The 19751-nt window shown below is 46.3% G+C and overlaps 2 long non-coding RNA genes across 2 annotated transcripts; both read right to left on the bottom strand.

The window, feature by feature from the left end:
* Positions 1 to 4064: 4064 nt before the first annotated feature.
* Positions 4065 to 8213, bottom strand: LOC105370639 (uncharacterized). Its single transcript, XR_944173.3, has 3 exons — positions 8021 to 8213; positions 6650 to 6937; positions 4065 to 4540 (listed from the first exon to the last, which is right to left on the bottom strand). It is a non-coding gene; the product is annotated as an uncharacterized LOC105370639 (long non-coding RNA).
* Positions 8214 to 10497: 2284 nt separating this feature from the next.
* LOC105370640 (uncharacterized) lies at positions 10498 to 19441 on the bottom strand. Its single transcript, XR_944174.3, has 3 exons — positions 19277 to 19441; positions 12933 to 13167; positions 10498 to 10614 (listed from the first exon to the last, which is right to left on the bottom strand). It is a non-coding gene; the product is annotated as an uncharacterized LOC105370640 (long non-coding RNA).
* Positions 19442 to 19751: the final 310 nt, after the last annotated feature.

The following is a 19751-nucleotide window of genomic DNA, read 5'->3' on the forward strand; positions in this document are numbered from 1 at the left end:
CAGCCAGCATGCCTACCTGAGGCAGAGAAGGCGTGGCCATTGTGTCTCAGCTGCGAGGAATATAACCCCCATCCAACTAACTCAAGTCAAGAGAGGTTATTGAAGGAGGAAAGGAATCTCCCAGAAAGGAGGCGTGGGAAGGACAGCACGGCCTTGTGGGAACTAGAACAACATCGAGACGCATTTTCCAGAGGCCACCTGGATGCTCATCTGCCCCTTCCTGGTGGCTCCATCCCCCCGCACCCCTCAACTGACCACAGACTGGCTTTCCCAGCCTACTCACAGTCCCAGCCTCCCTCCCTGCTGGCTCTGACACAACTCTACTGTCCACTGTCTTCATGTCACTTAGCTGAGATTCTCAAGAAAGAAAGAGTCCAAAAGGCTCTGATAGGTATTGAATCCCTCAGCCCCTTTCAGGGCTTATGGAAGAAGATTCCATATGGAAGCTTCCCGGACAGCTGAGTCAGGAGGCAGAGGTGAGCCTGGCAGGCAACTGAACGGACTCTTCCACTAGACACTTACTAAAATGAGCGGGTTAAAGCCGGCCTAGGGAGGTGATGGTGACAGTTCTGAGCAGGGTGCACAGAACACAGATTTGAGGCCTCCTTGCCAGAACACAGATAGGATGCCCAGGTAAGCATTTCTTTTGTTGTTGTTGTTGTTGAGATGAAGTCTCACTCTGTCACCCAGGGTGGAACACAGCGGTGCGATCTCGGTTCACTGCAACCTCTGCCTTCCTGATTTCGAGCGATTCTCCTGCCTCAGCCTCCCAAGTAGCTGGGATTACAGGCACATGTCACTATGTCCGGCTAATTTTTGTATTTTTTTCTTTTTTTTTTAGTAGAGATAGGGTTTTGCCATGTTGGTCAGGCTGGTCTTGAACTCCTGCCCTCAGGTGATCTGCCTGTCTTAGCCTCCCGAAGTGCTGGGATTACTGGGATTACAGGCTTGAGCCACCATGCTAGGCCCCAGGTAAGCATTTCTGAAAAGCCCCCCACCCTGGGAGCTACTCCAAACACTCCCCAAACAAGCCCCTCCCTGCGCCTGCTCTTAGGCACAGAATCCTCCGTCCTTCAAAGGGTTCTGGGCGCCCTGGGGCTGCTCCCTCCTGTGAGGCTTCACTCTTTGATCCCCCTTCCTGTCTACCAGCCCTCCTGGACTGAGCAGGACTTTCTCACTGTGGATGACAGAATCTTAACTCAAACTGGTTAAAGTGAAAAAGGGAATTTATTGACTTATGTAACTGAGAAGTCCGTGAGTGGAGCTGGCTTAGGACGGAAATAATGTCATCAGACCTCTTCTCTTTCTTGCTCTCTCTCTCTTCTCTTTCTCTCTGTCTCTCTCTCTTCTCTTTCTCTCTGTCTCTCTCTCTTCTCTTTCTCTCTGTCTCTCTCTCTCTCCCTGCTCCCCACTGCACACACACACCCTCTGCTCCCCTCTGCACACACACACCCTCTGCTCCCCTCTGCACACACACCCCCTCTGCTCCCCTCTGCACACACACACCCTCTGCTCCCCTCTGCATGTGGGCCCAGCTTTTCCTACTGTAGATGAGTTCCTCCGCGCAGTAGGAGAAAGGGCCACAGCTGCAGGAGCTTCAGGTGTATGTCATCCCAACTTAGTCTCAGGCTAAGCTTACGTCTTCTTTCTCCAACCTCCATAGGTAGAATCCCAGCTTGGGACTGGTCAATTGGGTCACCTGTGTTTCCTGTATTATTGCCATTACTATGTTCAGGAAGGTGGGAGGTTCTGACTGTCAAGGCCTGGGTCACATGCCCCTTCCTTTGCCCAGGGACTGATTGGCAGCTGTACTAGAATCACATGCACAGAGGATAAGTCAGCAGGAGGAAGGACGATCCTATTTCAAGATGTAGGAAGGGATGTTGGACAAATAGAAACAGCAGATGACCTCCGCACCACTTCGTTTGGGGGCGTAGGTTGGCAGGACTCCTGGATCGTTCAGAGAGATTTCTTCCCCACCTCATCTTTCTATGCTATCTGCACTCTCTCCGGCTGGTACCCTTTCTGTCTTATTGTCTGGCGAGTGTTCCAGCATACTGTCTGCCTTTGTGAAAGGTCACAGAGTATAAATACATGCATAAACATAAAGCAGGCATTGCTCATTGGATTTCTCGTTTGGGGTCCACACTGCCTCCTTCTAGCCTGGGCTGGGAATGCATGTATCTTCCCACTTTTGTATTCCTTTTTCTGAAGGTTGTTGGGTTTCAGATTCTATTAATATTAATTCAGCATCTTCTGGGTGTCCAGTACTTTCACATCCATTATCTCCCTTAAGCCCTGGATTATGGTTGGGGAGCCCAAGGCTGAAAGAGGTGAACACCTGTTGTCTTAGTTTCCTAGGCTGCTGTAACAAATGACCACAGACTGGGTAGCTTGAAACAACAGACATTTATTCTTGTATAGTTCAGGAAGCCAGAAGTCCAAAATCAAGGTCTTAGCAGGGCTGGTTTCTTTGGACGGCCATGAGGGAGAACCCACTCCCTGCCTGTCTCGGAGCTTCTGGTAGTTGCTGGTGATCCTGGCATTTGCAGCTGTAGCTGCTGACTCCAACCTCTGTCTCCATGGTCACAGGGCCATCTTCTTATGAGAACACCAGGCATATCGGATTAAAAGCTCAACCTCGTTTTAACTGATTACATCTGCAATGACCCTATATCCAAATAAGGTTATATTCTGAGTTACTGGGAGTAAAAGCTCACTGCGTTGTTTTTGGAGGAAACAATTCAACTCCTAAAACCCGTTAAGCGGTGAAGCCAGGCCTCAAACCCATGTCCAACTCCAGAGTCCATGCTCTTTCTGCCTGAAGCTGATGATAATGACAGCCAGTGTTTTCAGGGGACTGTGGTGTATGGGCAATTCCTTACATACTTACTACTTAAAATTCATAACAGCCCTACAAAGTAGGCACTGGGGACATCATTTTCTAGGTGAGGAAATTAGGGCATGCAGAGGTGAAATGCTAAAAGTAACACATCCCCACTTAGGAGCAGAGTTGGGATTTGAGCAGGTTCACCTGACTTCTCCTCCAAGTTGCTCCTGGCCCTGCCTTGCTGAGCTAGAAGGCCCAATATACACATTGACAAAATGCTATGGGAACCCTGGGTGGGCAGAGACCACTGCTGCCTGCAAAGGTTGGGATAAGGCTGGTGGAGAGAAAAAACTTAGAAATCCTTCGTGGAGGAAGTGACAGTTTAGCTAGATCCAGGAAGATGAGTCAGATTTAGTGGGGCAGAGAGGAGAGGGAAGGATGTTTCCAACAAGGCAGAGAGTAGAAGCAAGACGTAAAGCCAGGGAAGTATTTGGGGTACAAAGGTGGTTCTGTCTGGCTTGTCCGTAGCCCACAGTTTCACGTGGGTGAAAAAGGAAAGAGGCTCACTTGAACTGGGGACCCAAATGAAGTATCTGTATTGACTTGCCCTCCAGGTCCCTGTGTTCTAGTGGAAATTTACTTCTTTTTTTTTTTTTTTGAGACGGAGTCTCGCTCTGTCGCCCAGGCTGGAGTGCAGTGGCGGGATCTCGGCTCACTGCAAGCTCCGCCTCCCGGGTTCACGCCATTCTCCTGCCTCAGCCTCCCAAGTAGCTGGGACTACAGGCGCCCGCCACCACGCCCGGCTAATTTTTTTGTATTTTTAGTAGAGACGGGGTTTCACCGTTTTAGCCGGGATGGTCTCGATCTCCTGACCTCGTGATCCGCCCGCCTCGGCCTCCCAAAGTGCTGGGATTACAGGCGTGAGCCACCGCGCCCGGCCGGAAATTTACTTCTAAAGCTGCGTGTCCTTCAAGAGAGGGAGCAATCCTGGGAAGGCAGGGCAAGCCCAAACAAATGAGACCCACCGAGTGGGGTCCACTCCCTTTCTCCCTCCCACATACCCACAGACACCCCCTATCCCAGCCCAAAAACCAGAGGGTTGAGCTGAGAAACTCTCTGCCTCCAGAAGGCCCAGCCTTACTTCACTCTGATCCACCCAAGTGAAAAGGTTTCCAATGTGTTTTCCGGTTGCCATGGGTTTGCTTTCTGCGTCAGACATTCAGTCTGTCAGACATGAAATTGAATAATATTTTTATTTTTAGGCACGGGTCACAGAGTCTTTTCTTTCTGCTGCCGGGTTCGCCCCCGCACTGGAACTCCAGGGAATTGGGTCTCTGGAAGCCTGGGCAATGAATAGCTTCAGCAGGAAGCTGGTGGGTGGTGTTCTGTCTGAGCTGGACACTGTGTCCTAGAGCGAGATGACCTCACTCCGGCAGGGGTCCCTTTTGTGTCTTGGCAGAGCAGCTGGTTTTGGTCAAGAGCTGGGTGCAAGTTGTGCCCATGTGTCAAGGCTGGCACTGTGGGAGGGCAGGTTGGTGGAGTGGACCTGCTGTGGGTGGTGGAGGATGTCCAGATGGCCAGTGGCATGTGGCAATGTTGACAAGGAACAGGTGACCACACCAGCAAGTAGTCAGGATCCACAGAGAGCCATGGGATGCCCAAAGGTAGTTTGCTGGCATTAAGTGGAGGCAGGAATGAGCTCTCGTAGTTCTAGTTAAAGGGGGAAATTTAGAAATAGGACCCTCATATTAGGGGCCAGTTCCAAGAACAAAGCAAAACCCCAGGCTTAGAGCAGGATGCCTCAATCTTGGTACAACTGGCACTTGGGGCTGGATAGTTTTTTGTCATCGGAGACAGTCCTATGTGTTGTAGGACATTTAGCAGCATTCCTGGCCTTCACACACTAGATGCTAGTAACACCCCCTCCCCAGTTGTAACAACTAAAAATATCTCTAGACATCACCAAATGTCCATAGAGCAGGGAGGCAAAATTGTCTCCTGTTGAGGCTGAGAGGGATCTGGAAAATGAACACGTTTGGGATTTGGGAGGCAGACTCAGGAGCAAGGGAGTAAACAAAGATCTAGTTAGTGGAATAAATGGTGACTCCTTGGCTTGCCCCACATTGGTTAGGATCTTGGGTGGCAAGCGGCGAATGTCAGTTTTTGCTAACATTCCTGCTGTGGTTTGAATGTGTCCCCAGAAGTTCACAGGCTAGAAACTTAGTCCTCAATGCAATGGTGTTGAGAGGTGAGACCTTTAAGAGGTGATTAAGTCATGAGGGCTCTGTCCTCATGAATGAATTAACACCATTATTGTGGGACTGGTTTCTTTATAAAGAATGAGTTTGGCCTACTTCCCTCTCTCTCTTACCATGTGATGCCTTCTGCCATGTGGTGCCACAGCAAGAAGGCGCTCACCAGATGCCAGCACCTTGTTCTTGGACTTCCCATCCTCCAGAACCATAAGCCAATACATTTCTGTTCATTATAAATTACCCAGTCTCAGGTATTCTGTTATAGCAGCACAACAATGAACTAAGATAATTCCCAAAAGGAGATGTACCGAAAGGCTATGGTAGAGGTAGCCGGGACATTCCTTAGTAACAAGAGGCTGGAAGATTTGACTTAGAAATGGCAGGAACCAAGGAAGCCTCCATTTCTTCATCTGTATAATGGGAGTAATAACAGTGCCTGCCTCATAGAGGCATTGTGAGGATTAAATGAGTTATTATAGGTATCCAATACATGATAAGCACAGTGTGAGAATTAGCTACTATAACTATTAATGTGGTTGTTTTCGTTTTGTTACTTTCCTATTCATGATCTGGTTGTTGTCTTTCTTTCCATCTTCATGTCTCACCACCCTGTCTCTTGCCCCAACACTCCAGTCATCCTTGGCCATCTGTGAGCCTCTCAAATGCTAAGCCATTTCACATTTTCACCCAGCTGAAATAATTTCTATGGAATTTGTCTCAAGGTTCTGTTGCTCTTATCTTTAAAGTGTTTAGACAGAGAATAAGCCTGCCATTTTGAAGTAGCAGATCCCAGAAATATTTCTCAGAGGAGGTGATGAAGTGTTAAACGCAGCAGGGCTTTCCTGAGAAGTGATTTGCTGCCACAGACCATCTGAGGGGCAAGAGAACAGCTCAGAGAGCAAGAGGACAGGCTGGAGCCTAAGTCAGAAGAAAGAATCCCAGCATGGGCAGGGATTTGTATATTAGCCTTCGTATAGCACGCAGAGACAGACGTAATGCAAGATGGCTGCATCTTTTCTGCTTTGAGCTTAGAAGAGGAGAAAATCTAGGCAAAGGGACATAAGTCATGGAGAGAACAGGGAAAAGTAGCCCCTGAAACTTGCTGTTTTGGGAGTCATGAGGTACAGCCAATGGCATGGGGAAACCACACCACCATCACCTCTACCTCAGACAGTGAACTGTGCTCTAAGGGCTTTTAGCAGCAAAAAGGTGAGATTTTAAATGTTGGAGCCATTTGTGGTGTGAGAAGCCCTTGTGGACAGGTAGCTGGCACTTTTCATCACCTGGGAGCAGAAGTGAGCATAAAATAAAAGCCTTCTCTTCAGGGCAGACCATGGGAAACTAGCCTTGGAGTGAGTAAGCAGGAAGAGCTGACTTTAGCCAGAAGGTATGGGACTCGCACCCAGGTGTTGTGTTTGTGTTAAGCTTGCTTCATATTGAATCTGGACTTGAAATTGTTATGCAAAGAGTAGCCACTGTGGGTAATTAAATATTTATGCTCTTATTTAACAACAATTTCCATTTTAGCAAAGAAAGCAGACTTTAATCCCCTGCCACTTCTCACCTCTTTCTGGAGCAACCCCAGCTTCAGTTGAGCCCGGAACAGCACTTATTGCTGGTCACCAGAGGCAGCCCCTAGAATGTCAGGCCAAGAGGGGAGCTATACCAAGCTAGCCCTTGACCACAGCAGGCAGCCTTGATGATGAACCAAGGGCTTGATCTCTGCCTATCATAAAGCCTGGGTTCAAGTTCTGGCTCCACCTCGAGCTAGCAAACTTAATTCCTCTGAGCCTCACTTTCCTTGTCTGTAAAACAGACATGAGGATCTCTGCCCCATGGGAATGCTGTATAGCTGAAACAAGATAACAAGTGTTAATGGTTCCCAGGCGTATGGTGCCCAAAAGTCAAGAGAGAGATGTTAGAATGCAGGTTCCCAGGCATCTCTTCAGATTTTCTGATTAAGTAAAGGTGGGGCCTTCCTGCAAACTTCTAGGTGATTCTTTTATCTAGATATGTTAGTAAGAAACACTGATGTTTAAAAAGGGTTTAGTAACAAACCCAGCACACAGTAAGTCTTCAGTACATGTCATTGGTGGCGGTTGTAATCATTATTCTAATTATTACAACAATAGTGGTACATGACAAACTCTCTCCAAATCCAGTGGCTTAAAACAATAAGCATTTGTTTATCCCAGGAATACGCAGTTCAGTGAGGCAGGCTGGTCTCAGCTGTGATTCTTTTGGTTGTAACTGGGCTCACTTAACAGGTTCAATGCCAGCTGGCTGTCCAATGAAATGATGGGGCAAATAGGCCACGTGTCTCTGAAAATGGGCGTGAGGATCTCTGCCCCATGTGCCATGAGAACATGCTAATCCAGCATGTTCTCATGGAGGTGGCAGAGGTGCCAGTGCTTTCAGGCCTGTGCTTACTGTCACGTTTGCTCCCATCTCATTGGTCAAAACAAATTGCATAGCTGAGCCTAGAGCCAAGACATGGCGAGCATCCCACCTGGAGCAGTAGCCCCTGATTAAGCACATGCCACAGGGAGCTGGTAGGGGGAGTGTGAAGATTTGGGACTAATCATAAGTATTGTTGTAGAAAATATCAAAGTTCACTGTCTTTGTCTACCAAATTTGCTTCGATGAGCGTGCATTACACTTTCAATCAGAAACAAATTTAGCTATTATCACTTTGAAACAAAAATAGTGCTTAGAAAACAAGAGAGGATTATTATGAGGAGTAAACAAGGTTTAAACATGTCAATGCATGAGGAAGAACATTACAAGCTGCCCAGAAGCCTGGGGGATGATGTGCTAAGAATCAGGCCCCCAGCTAGATGTGAACAGCCCCCTCTCCATCAGGCCTGCAGTCTGCTTTGGATCTGGCTATGCTGCTGCGACATCACCCTGACGTTAGGATCAGGTGTTAACTCACCCCTTATCCCTCTGGAGCCCCAGTGCTCGCATGGTGAATGAGTTTCAGGCAGCAAAACCACAGCCCTCCTCACTTTGAGGGCTTCTCTTTGCTTTCCCCTTTATCCAACCCCCAGAAATTTACTTCTCTTGTGTCACAATAGACTGAGGGCTCCTCAGAGGGCAAGGCCACATCCCCAAAATATATCATAAGAGCACCCACAAAAATAAGAGTCAGTACTACTTTTTTGAGCATTTATTATGCTCCAGGCATGGTGCTAACTGCATTTTTATATATTAGCTAATTTAATGCTTCTGGTGACCCCATGAGTTTGTGTATGAGTTTCCTATTGCTGCTGTAACAAACTACCACATACCTGGTGTCTGAAAATAGCACAAATTTATTCTCTTACACTTACAGAGCTCAGAAGTCCTAAAATGGTACTAAAAATCAAGTCAGTAGGCCTATGTTCCTTCTGGACGATCTAGAGGAAAATCTGTTCCTTGCCTTATGCAGCCTCGAGAAACCGTGTGCATCCCTCAGCTTGTGGCTCCCTTCCAGCAATGAGGATAAAAAAATGGATGGGGATATGGATGCATGTATGGAAGGGTAGATGGAAAGATGGACAAATGGAAGGATGGATGGATGCATGGATGGATGGAAGGATGGATGGATAGTTGGATGAATGGATGGCTGGATGATGGATGGATGAATGGAAGGATGAATGGATGTATGGATGTGTGGATGTATGGATGGATGAGTGAATGGAGGGTTGAAGGTATGTATGTATGTATGGATGGATGGATGGATGGTTGGAGAGATGAACAGAGGATGGATGGATGGATGAATAGATGGTTGAATATATGGATGGATGATGGATGAATGGATGGAAAGATGGATGGATGGTTGGATAGATGGATGGGTGAATGGATGGCTGGCTTGATGTATGGATATATGTAAGGATGGATGGATGGATGGATGGATGGATGGATGGATGGATGGATGGATAGATGGATAATTGGATGGATGGATGGATGGATGGATGGATGGATGGATGGATGGATGAATGAATGAATAGACACTCAGAAAGTCTTTAGTCTCCTCTAGATTTCATCTCTGTGGCTGAGACAATGGCAAAGCATTTCTCTTTTCCATCCCCATCCCTGGAGCTGTCGTTTTTCACATCCATCAGCATCAAGATACTTCCCACTAAACTTCGTGGGTGAGAGCCTGTACTCTTTCCAAACCTCTCACTGAACCAGTCCACTCTTGTCATGAGAAAATAAGTATGTCATCTAATTACCAATGATGTCAGTCAAGGAACCTTAAACAAAGAGATTAGTTCTGCTTGTATTTGTTGGTACAATGGACATCATAACATATTTAACAGCATTGTAATGTGGAACAGATGGGAAAGACCCCAGCTTTCGGGGCCTCTCCATCTCTCCCACTTTCTACCAACAGCCAAAACCAAGCGACCTTTTAGAACACTTTATGGGCTGGATGCCTGCCAGAAATTGCTCACCCAGGGGCTGCCAGTACCGGCCCAGCCTGATAATGCCTGCTGGGTTCTTCATTGAAGACGATCAAGTTACAATCCTTGGGAATGCTGGAAATTCCACAGTGGATCTAGATACAATATTGGGGTGAAGCCCTCCCAAGCTTTACCCATTTATCATTGAGTTTCCACCGAGTGCTGATTATGTCATGGGATTTCCATCATGAAACCAAAATCTTGAGAAATCACCAAGGAGTAAATTTCAGTTTGGTTATGTGCTGGGCAACCTTGGATAAATTAGTCATCTCTCTGAGCCTGTGTCTTCAGCTGCAAAATAAGGGAGAAGAGCCAGCTGGACTAGTCATGAAGCCTGAGTGAGACAATGTCTGTAGAAGCCCAATAGGCACACAGCAGGTGCTCAAACTAATCTCGGCCCACGTGGGTGAGGGACTGAGTTTAGAACTCTAGATCTATTGAGAAACATTTCACATGCACCTAGTCTGTGGACCTGCATCCCACACAGAATTTTAGAATTTTTGAAATGAAAGGAATCTTGGGGACTATTTAAACCAAAGCTTGAAAAGCAATGGTCCGTGGGCCACACCCAGCCTGACAGCACATGCGTACACACGCATGTTAGCACAGGTATTTTTTAACAATATTCAAATTAGTTGCCACCTAAAAAATTTTTTTAACATTATAATGTGAAATCTTGAATGATTGAGAAACTGTCACTCTAATCCAAAGCCCACATCCCCACATGGCAATGATTGGACAAAGATCCCAACCTTCCCTCTTTCAGGATGTTTTTACACTTGGTCTGGGGATGTGGTTTGGATTTGTTTCCCTGCCCAAATCTCATGTCGAATTGTAATCCCCAATGTTGGAGGAGGGGCCTGGTGGGAGGTGACTGGATCATGGGGGCAAACTTCACCCTTGCTGTTCTTGTGATAGTGAGTTCTCATGAGAGCTGCTTGTTTAAAAGTGTGTAGCAGAGGCTCGCTGTCTTCCTCCTGCTTCAGCTACGTAAGTCGTGCCTGCTTCTTCCTCACCTTCTGCCATGATTGTAAGTTTCCTGAGGCCTCCCAATCCACGCTTCCTGTAGAGCTTGTAGAACCTGTGAGAGAATTAAACCTCTCTTCTTTATAAATTACCCAGTCTCAGGTAGTTCTTTATAGCAGTGCGAGAACAAACTAATACATCTGGTCTGCTCAGATGTTTCCTGTTTGGGTTCTGTAGGCATGTTAGTTCACAGACCCAGATTGAGAGCAATTCCTTCCCCTTTATAGATAATGAAACTGAGGCCAAAGTGAAGATGACAATAAGCCCCTCCCTACGACGGTCATGGGAGATATCACCAAGAGATCATGCAGTTCTTTCCTTGATCACAGCCTCAGAATCCCTCTTAACACAGTGCTCTGTGTTGGCAGCCATTCAGATAACCAATCAGGTACCTCAGGGATAAGAGATTTTGCTCAGGGTTCCCTAACTCTGCTCTATTAACCTTAAGGGCTTGCTCTCATCTGCTCTTGATAGTTTTGGGATTGCAAATGAGGAGACATAAACAGTGGGTTTGCTTCGTTGCTGTGTTGCAGGTTTGGAACAAGAGATCACTGGAGGGCAGGGCTGGACGGCAGCAAGGCCATTTTCAGGCTATGATCTTGGGGTCACCTTTCTACCTCTCTCAGCCTTGTTTTACTCTTCAGTGGAAGAGACGAAAAAGCATTTGACATTATTGTAAGAATCAAATGAAAGACTGTGGGTGGAAGTGCCTAGCAAACTGTGAAGGTTGCATTATCATTTTATTAGGCATGGTATGCAGTACCCATAAGGCAAAGGTCTCCCTCTCTGACTTCCTTGACTCCAGGGTAAATTTGAATTTTGACATATATTAAAATGTAGCTTGGGAGATATTCTGGCAACCGCACACTGTATGTTTTGCATTTGGCTTCCCTGGCCTTTGGTCAGGGTTGAACATGCATTTCAGCAAAAACATGATTGTAAGAAAATATTTCATTAATCAAATGCAATCTCTTTCTTTATAACCTCTGCATTACCGACCCCCTACCTGGCCCCAAAAAGGAAGGCTTGCTGCTTGCACAGACGCCTCCCTCATGGCTCCGAACCATACCCCTGAAGACCTCGCCCAGCAATACACGTTAGCCCACACAACCATGTTTTCCTTTCCAAACCCTAAAAAAAGAAAAGAGCCCTTTCTCTTTTCTTTACCCAGAGTAATCCTGAAATTATGCACCATATCCGGAAGACAGACATGGCCCCAAATTTAATTTTCTGGTTTCTGCAGAGCTGACTTAATCAGACCAGAGTCGAGGAGGGATCCCCCAGGGATGTACCCCCAGAGCTCTGCTACGGCTCCCAACCTGACAAGCCGTGAGACACGGTCACAACACTTTGCCCAGAGCACCATGTGCCTGTGTCTATGTAGGTCTCTGTGTGTGTGGTGTGGGTGCGCACCTGTGTATATGGCTTGCATGTCTGGCAATTGTGTATGTTGACTGTCTCTATCTGTATCCATATGTGCCTCTGTGGTGTCTGTGTGTGGTATGTAGTGTATCTGTATGTGTAGTGTATGTGTGCATCTGTGTGTGTTTGGTGTGTGGGGGGGTGTGTACACACATGTATGCAGGTGGGGGGTATGTGCAAGCATGTGCATGTGTCTATGATGTGTATGTGTGTGTCTGTATGTGGTGCATCCATGTGTGTATGCCTGTATGTGGTGTGGTGGGTGTGTTTGGCATGTGTGCATATATCTGTGTGTGGTGTGTGTTTTGTCTGTGTGGCATGTGTGTGTATGCATGGTGTGTGTGATTGTATGTGTGCAAGTGTGTGTATGTATGGAGTGTGTCTAGGTCTATATGTGCCTCTGTGTGGTGCATGGTTGTGTGTGGTGCATGGTTGTTTGTGGTGCATGTACTTGCACACAGGTGTGTAGTGTATGTGTACGTGTGTGTGTGTGTGTGTATGGAGTGTGTCCGTGTCCGTGTGTGCCTCTGTGTGTGGTGCATGGTTGTGTGTGGTGCGTGTACTTGCACACAGTTATGTGGTGTATGTGTAGGTGTGTGTGTGTGGAGTGTGTCTGTGTCTATGTGTGCCTCTGTGTGTGTGGTGCATGAATAAGGGGTGTGTGTGCATAGGCACTCAGGTGCGTGCACGTGTCTACAGTGTATAGCATGTGTGTCTGTGTGCCCGCGTGACCTGTCACCCATGCCCTAGGATGAAGAATTGATCGTGGGCTCGATCCTGGGGTCCCTGGGACAGTCCCATGCCTTGTTCTCTCCCATGTTCCTCATGGTTATGGAGAACAATGGTTTGGCGAGGACTGGCAGTGCTGTGAGAGATTTCCAAGGTGATTCACATCGAAACTCCCCGTTTGACAGAGAGGGATCTGAGGTACAGAGAGGGAATGGGACTTACCAAAAGTCACAAAGCAAGTTGGTGATGAGTGCGAGGCTGGAACCGATTTCTCCTGCCTCCCCGGCCAGTGTGCTTTCTCCCTGGACCCCTTCAGGGAGGTCACAGCCAGCCTGCTGGGGAGCTGGTCATAGGGAAGGACCTTGCTGGGATTTGGGGATGGACAGCTTGGCTACATGGATTAATCAGGTGGGAAACTGCACGAGCGATGTCCTTGAGCATGAGTTGACAAACGCTTCTGTGAAGGACCAGAGTAAATATTTTAGGACTTTGTAGCGCAAGAGGCAAAATTAAAGCTATTTTGTTGGTACTTACATAACCATGTAAAATGTAACCCACTTAAAAATTTAAAAACCATTCTTACTCCTTGAACTGTGTGAAAACTAGTGGCAGCTAGATTTGACCCACAGGTCTACTCCTGTCCGAGGCGCTGAGAATCAAAACAAACAAGTAGACAAATCTGAACTTACGAAACCCCAAACAGGAGCAAACACAAGAAGGTCAGTGCCAGCAGCCGAGAGCACAGAACAGGCAGCAAACAAAGAGCCATGGCGGTGTTGTGTGAGAAGTGCGGAGCTGAGGTCACAAACTGGCCTGCAGAGATTGGGGGTTGGAATCCCAGGTGTATGGCGCTCAATCACAGACTGTGGTCAGAGAGAGGGTCCATTTTCCAGGATGGTCCAAAATGAGGCAACGGAGAAGAACTCCATAGCAGGAGCAGTGCTCAGGGGAGCAGGAGCCCTGTAGGCTGGAGGGACCTCGGCAGATGCTTGTCCAGTTTTCTCATGGGTGGTAACCTCACACTGCCTGTCCTCAGTGCCATGGTCCACTTGCTGAATGAATGCCCAGGCCTGAAATCTTTGCCCAGTGTCTTATTTGGTCATTTTGTGAGCTGCATGTGTATGTGGGTGTTTTAGTCCATTTGGGCTGTTATAACAAAATATCATAGCCTAGGTGGCTGATAGACAACAGAAATTTATTTCTCATGTTCTGGAGGCTGGGAAGTCAAAGATCAAGGCACAAGCAGTTTCGGTGTCTGGTGAGGGCACGTTTCCTGGTTCATAGATGGTGCCTTCTTGCTGTGTCCTCACATGGTTGAAGGGGCAAGCTCTCCCTCTGGGGTCATTTTAATAATCCCATGCATGACAGCTCCACCATCATGACCTAATCACCCTCCAGAGGCCTCACCTCCTAATACCATCACCTTGCGGGTTAGCATTTCAACGTATGAATTGGGAGTTGGGGGAAATAAACATGCAGGCCTTACCAATGGTCCACAGCCCCCAGGATGACTACTTCTGCTGCAAAACCCCTAACCCTCAGCCCACCCCACAGCTTCACTTGGCATCCACTTGGCATTCACAGCTTCACTTGGCATCAGAATAAAGAATTTGAGCCCAGGCATGGTGACTCACACCTGTAACCCCAGCACTTTGGGAGGCCAAGCAGGCGGATCACTTGAGGTCAGGAGTTCAAGACCAGCCTGGCCAACGTGGCGAAACCCCATCTCTACTAAAAATTCAAAATATTAGCCGGGCGTGGTGGCAGGTGCCCGTAGTCCCAGCTACTTTGGAGGCTGAGGCAGGAGAATCGCTTGAACTTGGGAGGCGGAGGTTGCAGTGAGCTGAGATCGCACCACTGCACTCCAGCCTGGGTGACAGAGTGAGACTCTGTCTCCAAAAAAAAAAAAAAAAAGTATTTGAGCCTAGTTGACCTTGCCTGATATAATGCAACTAGTCAGATGTATAATGCTATAGGATTACAGCCCCCGTGAAGGCTGCTGATGAAAGACAATGGGGAAGGAACGTCCCCCACTGTCTTTGAAATGTGTATTTAGTAGTTCATTTTGCCTAGAAGGAGAAATGACTGAGAGTACAGATCTACACAGAAGAATGGGCAGTACCCAGCACCAGAGAGTAAGCTCCAGGAAGGCAGGGTTTGGGGGTTTCTGTTTTGTTCACCATTTTATTTATTCTTGATGTATAATAAGAGCTTAATAGTCCAGGTGAGGTGGCTCACACCTGTAATCCCAACACTTTGGGAGGCCGGGTGTGGGGGGGTGGGGGGTGGATCACAAGGTCAGGAGTTCGAGACCAGCCTGGCCAATATGGTGAAACCGTGTCTCTACTAAAAATACAAAAATTAGTTGGGTGTGGTGGCACCCGCCTGTAGTTCCCAGCTACTCGGGAGGCTGAAGCAGAAGAAGCGCTTTAACCTGGGAGGTGGAGGTTGCAGTGAGCCGAGATCGCGCCACTGCACTCCAGCCTGGGCAACAGAGTGAGACTCCATCTCAAAAAAAATTAAAAAAAAAAAAAGAGCTCAGTGATATTTTTTATTTAAATATTCTTTACTTGATTCTTTCCTTAAGGATGGTCAAGGGCTCGAAAAGGACAAGAATGGGGATTGATAACATGGAAGTTTGAGGAAAATATATATGGGTAGCCCTTTCAGCGAGATCTTGGGTATAACGATATGTATGTACTGTTTGAATGATCATCAAAAGTCCATCTGTGGAGAGAAGGCTCTTGATAATCAGGTGTCCAGACATCACTGGATGTCAGTTCAGTTGCCCATGAACAAGCAGGCCTGGTGGCAGGGATGCGACAGCTAACCTCATAATTTAGTTCACAGACTTCAGGACATCAAGTAAAATTGTGAATGAACCAGAGGAAAACTAACAGAGCACAGAAATGGATATATTGATAAATGGGACGTTTTGCTAAGCACTCACTTGCTCATACGGGGGTAGGTGCATTAGGTGGAATATGGGAGCTATTGTTTCCACTGCTGTTTTTGCTTGGAAGTTTAAATATGGAAATTGGGGTACACCGGGACATGAAGTATCCAGAGGCATGGGCCGTGGGGGATACTGTAGATTTGCTTATTAATTGCCCATTAAACTCCTTGCAAGATGTTTTCCCATAATGCAGAAGGGTAAAGCTAAAATGGCATTGGCCGAGTGTGGTGGCTCACATCTGGAATCCTAGCACTTTGGGAGGCCGAGATAGGAGTTCGAGATCAGCCTGGGCAACATAGGGAGACTGTCTCTAAAAAAAAAATCATTTTTTTAAAAAAATAAATAACATGGCATATCCCTGCCTCCTTTGCTGCTGTGTTCTAAATGTGAACCAGGTTTTTCCAATTCCAACTCTCCTTCATGATGCTGAGTGTGGGAGGGAGGTGCATGAGGAGACAGCTTGACATGGGCACCCCTTTGCTGCAGTGCAACGGAGGCGAGGCCTTTAGTCCGCAGCTGCAGTATTCTCCCTGTCTGGCAGCCTCCTGCGGGGCAGCAGCAGCAACTTTCTCCACCATGAAAGAGGCAGCATGGTCCTGAGGCTGAGCTCCTCCTGAAATCTCAGATTAGAGTCTGTTCTTCAACAATTTTGTGAGCCATTTTATACCCCATCATAAATCCCTTTCTCCTTAAGCTAGTTAGAGTGGATTCTGTTTTTTGCAACTGACTGCTGACTGATTCTAGACTCTCCCCTTAACAAGCATCTTCAGGACACTTGTAAGCCCATAAGGGAGATCCCGGACTCCTGGCAGTAGTTGCAGGGCAGTACTTTGGGGTCAGAGTATGCATCCTAGAGAATGTAAAAGAAGATACTTCTTCAGAACCTGCCTAGCATGACCCAGGAAGGCATTTGGGATGGGGTGGTATAAATAGCTTCCAGTTATGGAGTGTGTCCTATGGGCTGAGCACTGTGAAAGCCCTTTACACATACTATCCCATTTAATCCGCCCAACCACATTCCTTTGAGATAAGTATTCCAGAAGATGGGAGAACTTTGTTAAGGTCCAATGCCTTGCAGATTTGGTTGCTTGGAGCCAAACACTGATCAGGATGATTCCAAGCCTGTTCCTAGAACAGTTTCACCGTCACTTTTAAGGGAGTAAGTTAAGAGCAAAAGAGAAACTTCACATTTTTTTTCCAGGGCCATAAAAAATCATATTTTTAAAAATAAAATTTTTAGTGATCTTACTACTGGGAATTTATCCAAAGGAAAGGAAATCATTATATTGAAGAGACATCTGCACCTTCATGTTTATTGCAGCACTGTTCACAATAGCCACGATATGGGATCAACGTAGGTGTCCAACAACAGATGGATGTAAAAAATATGGGATATATACACAATGGAATACCATTCAGCCATTAAAAAAAGAGAAATCTCGTCATTCGTGGCAACACGGATAGAACTAGAGGACATTATGTTAAGCAAAATAAGCCAGGAACAGAAAGTTAAACACCACATGTTCTCACTCATATGTGATAGCTAAAAAAAGTTGATCTCATAGAAGTAAAAAGTAAAATGGGATACTAGAAGCTAGGGAGAGTAGGAGGAAGGAAGCATAGGGAGAGACTTGTTAAATGATACAAATTACAGCTAGATAGGATAAATAAGTTCTAGAATATTACACCACTGTAGGCTGACTATAGTTAACAACAGTATATAGTTTCAAATAGCTAGAAGAAGGATGCTGAATGTTCCCAAAACAAAGAAATGATAAATGTTTGAGATGCTGGATATGCTAATTACCCTGATCTGATCACTTACATTATATGTATCAAAACATCACTGTGTACCCCATGAATATATAACATTACTATTTGTCCATTAAAAGAAAAGAATTTTAAGTGTGGAAAGAAAGAAAATATGTAAGCTGATGAAAAAAGAAGGAAATAGACATTTTTCTAGTGTTCAAATCATACAGTGCTTGTCCTAAATACTGCTGAATTTGCCACTTGGAAGGGAAGACTAATCTGTTTTGGAACATGCCATTATTTAGCATGTAACTTTTTACTATTTCTTGATTATAAAGATATCATTAAAAACTGCAAAATCAGTTTTTGAAATGTTCAATGCTTTTAAAAATTCAGATCTTTTCATTTACTAGATTGGCAAAACAGATTATTGATAAGATTCTATTCATTTCATTCTAATGAAAATAGAAATGAAATAAAATGGAACAAACAATAAATAAAATTTTTGGCCAGGCGCAGTGGCTTACGCCTGTAATCCCAGCACTTTGGGAGGCCAAGGCGGGTGGATCACGAGGTCAGGAGATCGAGACCATCCTGGCTAACATGGTAAAACCCCGTCTCTACTAAAAATACAAAAAATTAGCTGGGTGTGGTGGCGGGCGCCTGTAGTCCCAGCTACTCAGGAGGCTGAGGCAGGAGAACGGAGTGAACCCGGGAGGTGGAGCTTGCAGTGAGCTGAGATGGCGCCATTGCACTCCAGCCTGGGCGACAGAGTGAGACTCCGTCTCAAAAAAAAATAAATAAAATTTTTATTTGGAATCATTTAGAAAAGGTGCAAAAACAGCACAAAGTTCCCATAACCTTCACCCAGTGATACACTCTGGATGTTTGTCCTTCCAGATTTCATGGAATCCCCAGTGCTGGAGGTGGGGCCTGGTGGGAGGTATTGGATCACGGGGGAGATTGCTCATGAGTGGCTTAGCGCCATCATCCCCCTGGTGATAAGTGAATGCTTGCTCACAGAGATCGGGTTGTTTAACAGAGTGTGGTACTTTTCTCCCTCTCTCTCTTGATCCTACTCTGGCCATATGACATGCTGGCTCCCTGTCACCTTCTGCCATGATTGTAGGCTTCCTTAGAACCTCACCAGAAGTGGATGCCAGCACCATGTTTCCCGTTCAGCCTGCAGAACTGTGAACCAATTAAACCTCCTTTCTTTATAAATATCCAGCTCCAGGTATTTCTTTATAGCTACACAAAAATAGACAAACACACCCAGTCTCCTCTAACGGTAACATCTTACATGTCCATGGGGAATTTGTCAACACCAAGAAATTAACACCAGTGCAATAGCGTTAATGAAACTGCTAACTTGATCTGTGTATCATTGGCCTTTCCACTAATGCCTGTTCACTGTTCCAGGATGCAATGCAGGATTCCACATTGCATTCAGCATTGTGGTTTGTTGCTTTTTACTTTTTGTTATCCCATCACCTCATTCCAAAGGAAAAGGGCCTCAGTGATTTGCACAAGCCCAAAGAGAGGAAACAGATAGCATGAGACAGGCCATGTCTCAGAACAATTTAGAGCAATTTCCCTCGCTGTCCATTGGTAGAGGAGCCCTCCTATTAGAAATTAGCAGCAGCAGGCCACAGTGAAAACCAAGCTGGAGCGGGGAGCAGGGACCAGGATGCACGCCAGTATGCAACTGCAATACGGAATTCCAGCCCGGAAGCCCTGAGCAAGTTGGGGTCTCTCCTTTTGCAGCATAATGAAAGGTAGCAGGACGGAGAGCCAGGGCTGCAGAGGCAGTGACAGAGGAGGCTGGCAGGGCCAAGTAGCTGAGTAACATTCTCACCAAGAGGATTCCACGAGAAGGTGATGGATCTCTCCAATTAACCATGTCATGGTTGGGCTTGGAAGCCGTGGATGAAAACTGAGGTAAGATAATTATTTCCATGGGACGCCTGGTTGTGAAAAAAATCACACGGTCATAAAAATGAATGAGTCGTCCAGCCAGAAACACTAGAGAACTCAGTAAAGATTTAGAAACCGTGTGTGTTTAATGCTACTCTCACAGTGGGCTGGGTTCCCACAAAAGGTGCTAAATTAAAACAAGGAAGGGTAAATCTAGTTTTCTCACTGAAACAGCGTTTTAACCCTGAAGTTCCTGACCCCAGGTTTGATGCTTCTGCTGTGGAAATAAACATGTATACCACGTTTAGTTAACATAAATGACACGTGGCATACCTTTATGTTATACGGATTAAGGCTTCTTCAGATCAGCTAAACAGGGCTATGCCGTGATCAATTCCATATAGACCTAAAAGGCA

Source organism: Homo sapiens, chromosome 14 (genome assembly GCF_000001405.40).
Source record: "Homo sapiens chromosome 14, GRCh38.p14 Primary Assembly".
Classification (NCBI taxonomy): domain Eukaryota; kingdom Metazoa; phylum Chordata; class Mammalia; order Primates; family Hominidae; genus Homo; species Homo sapiens.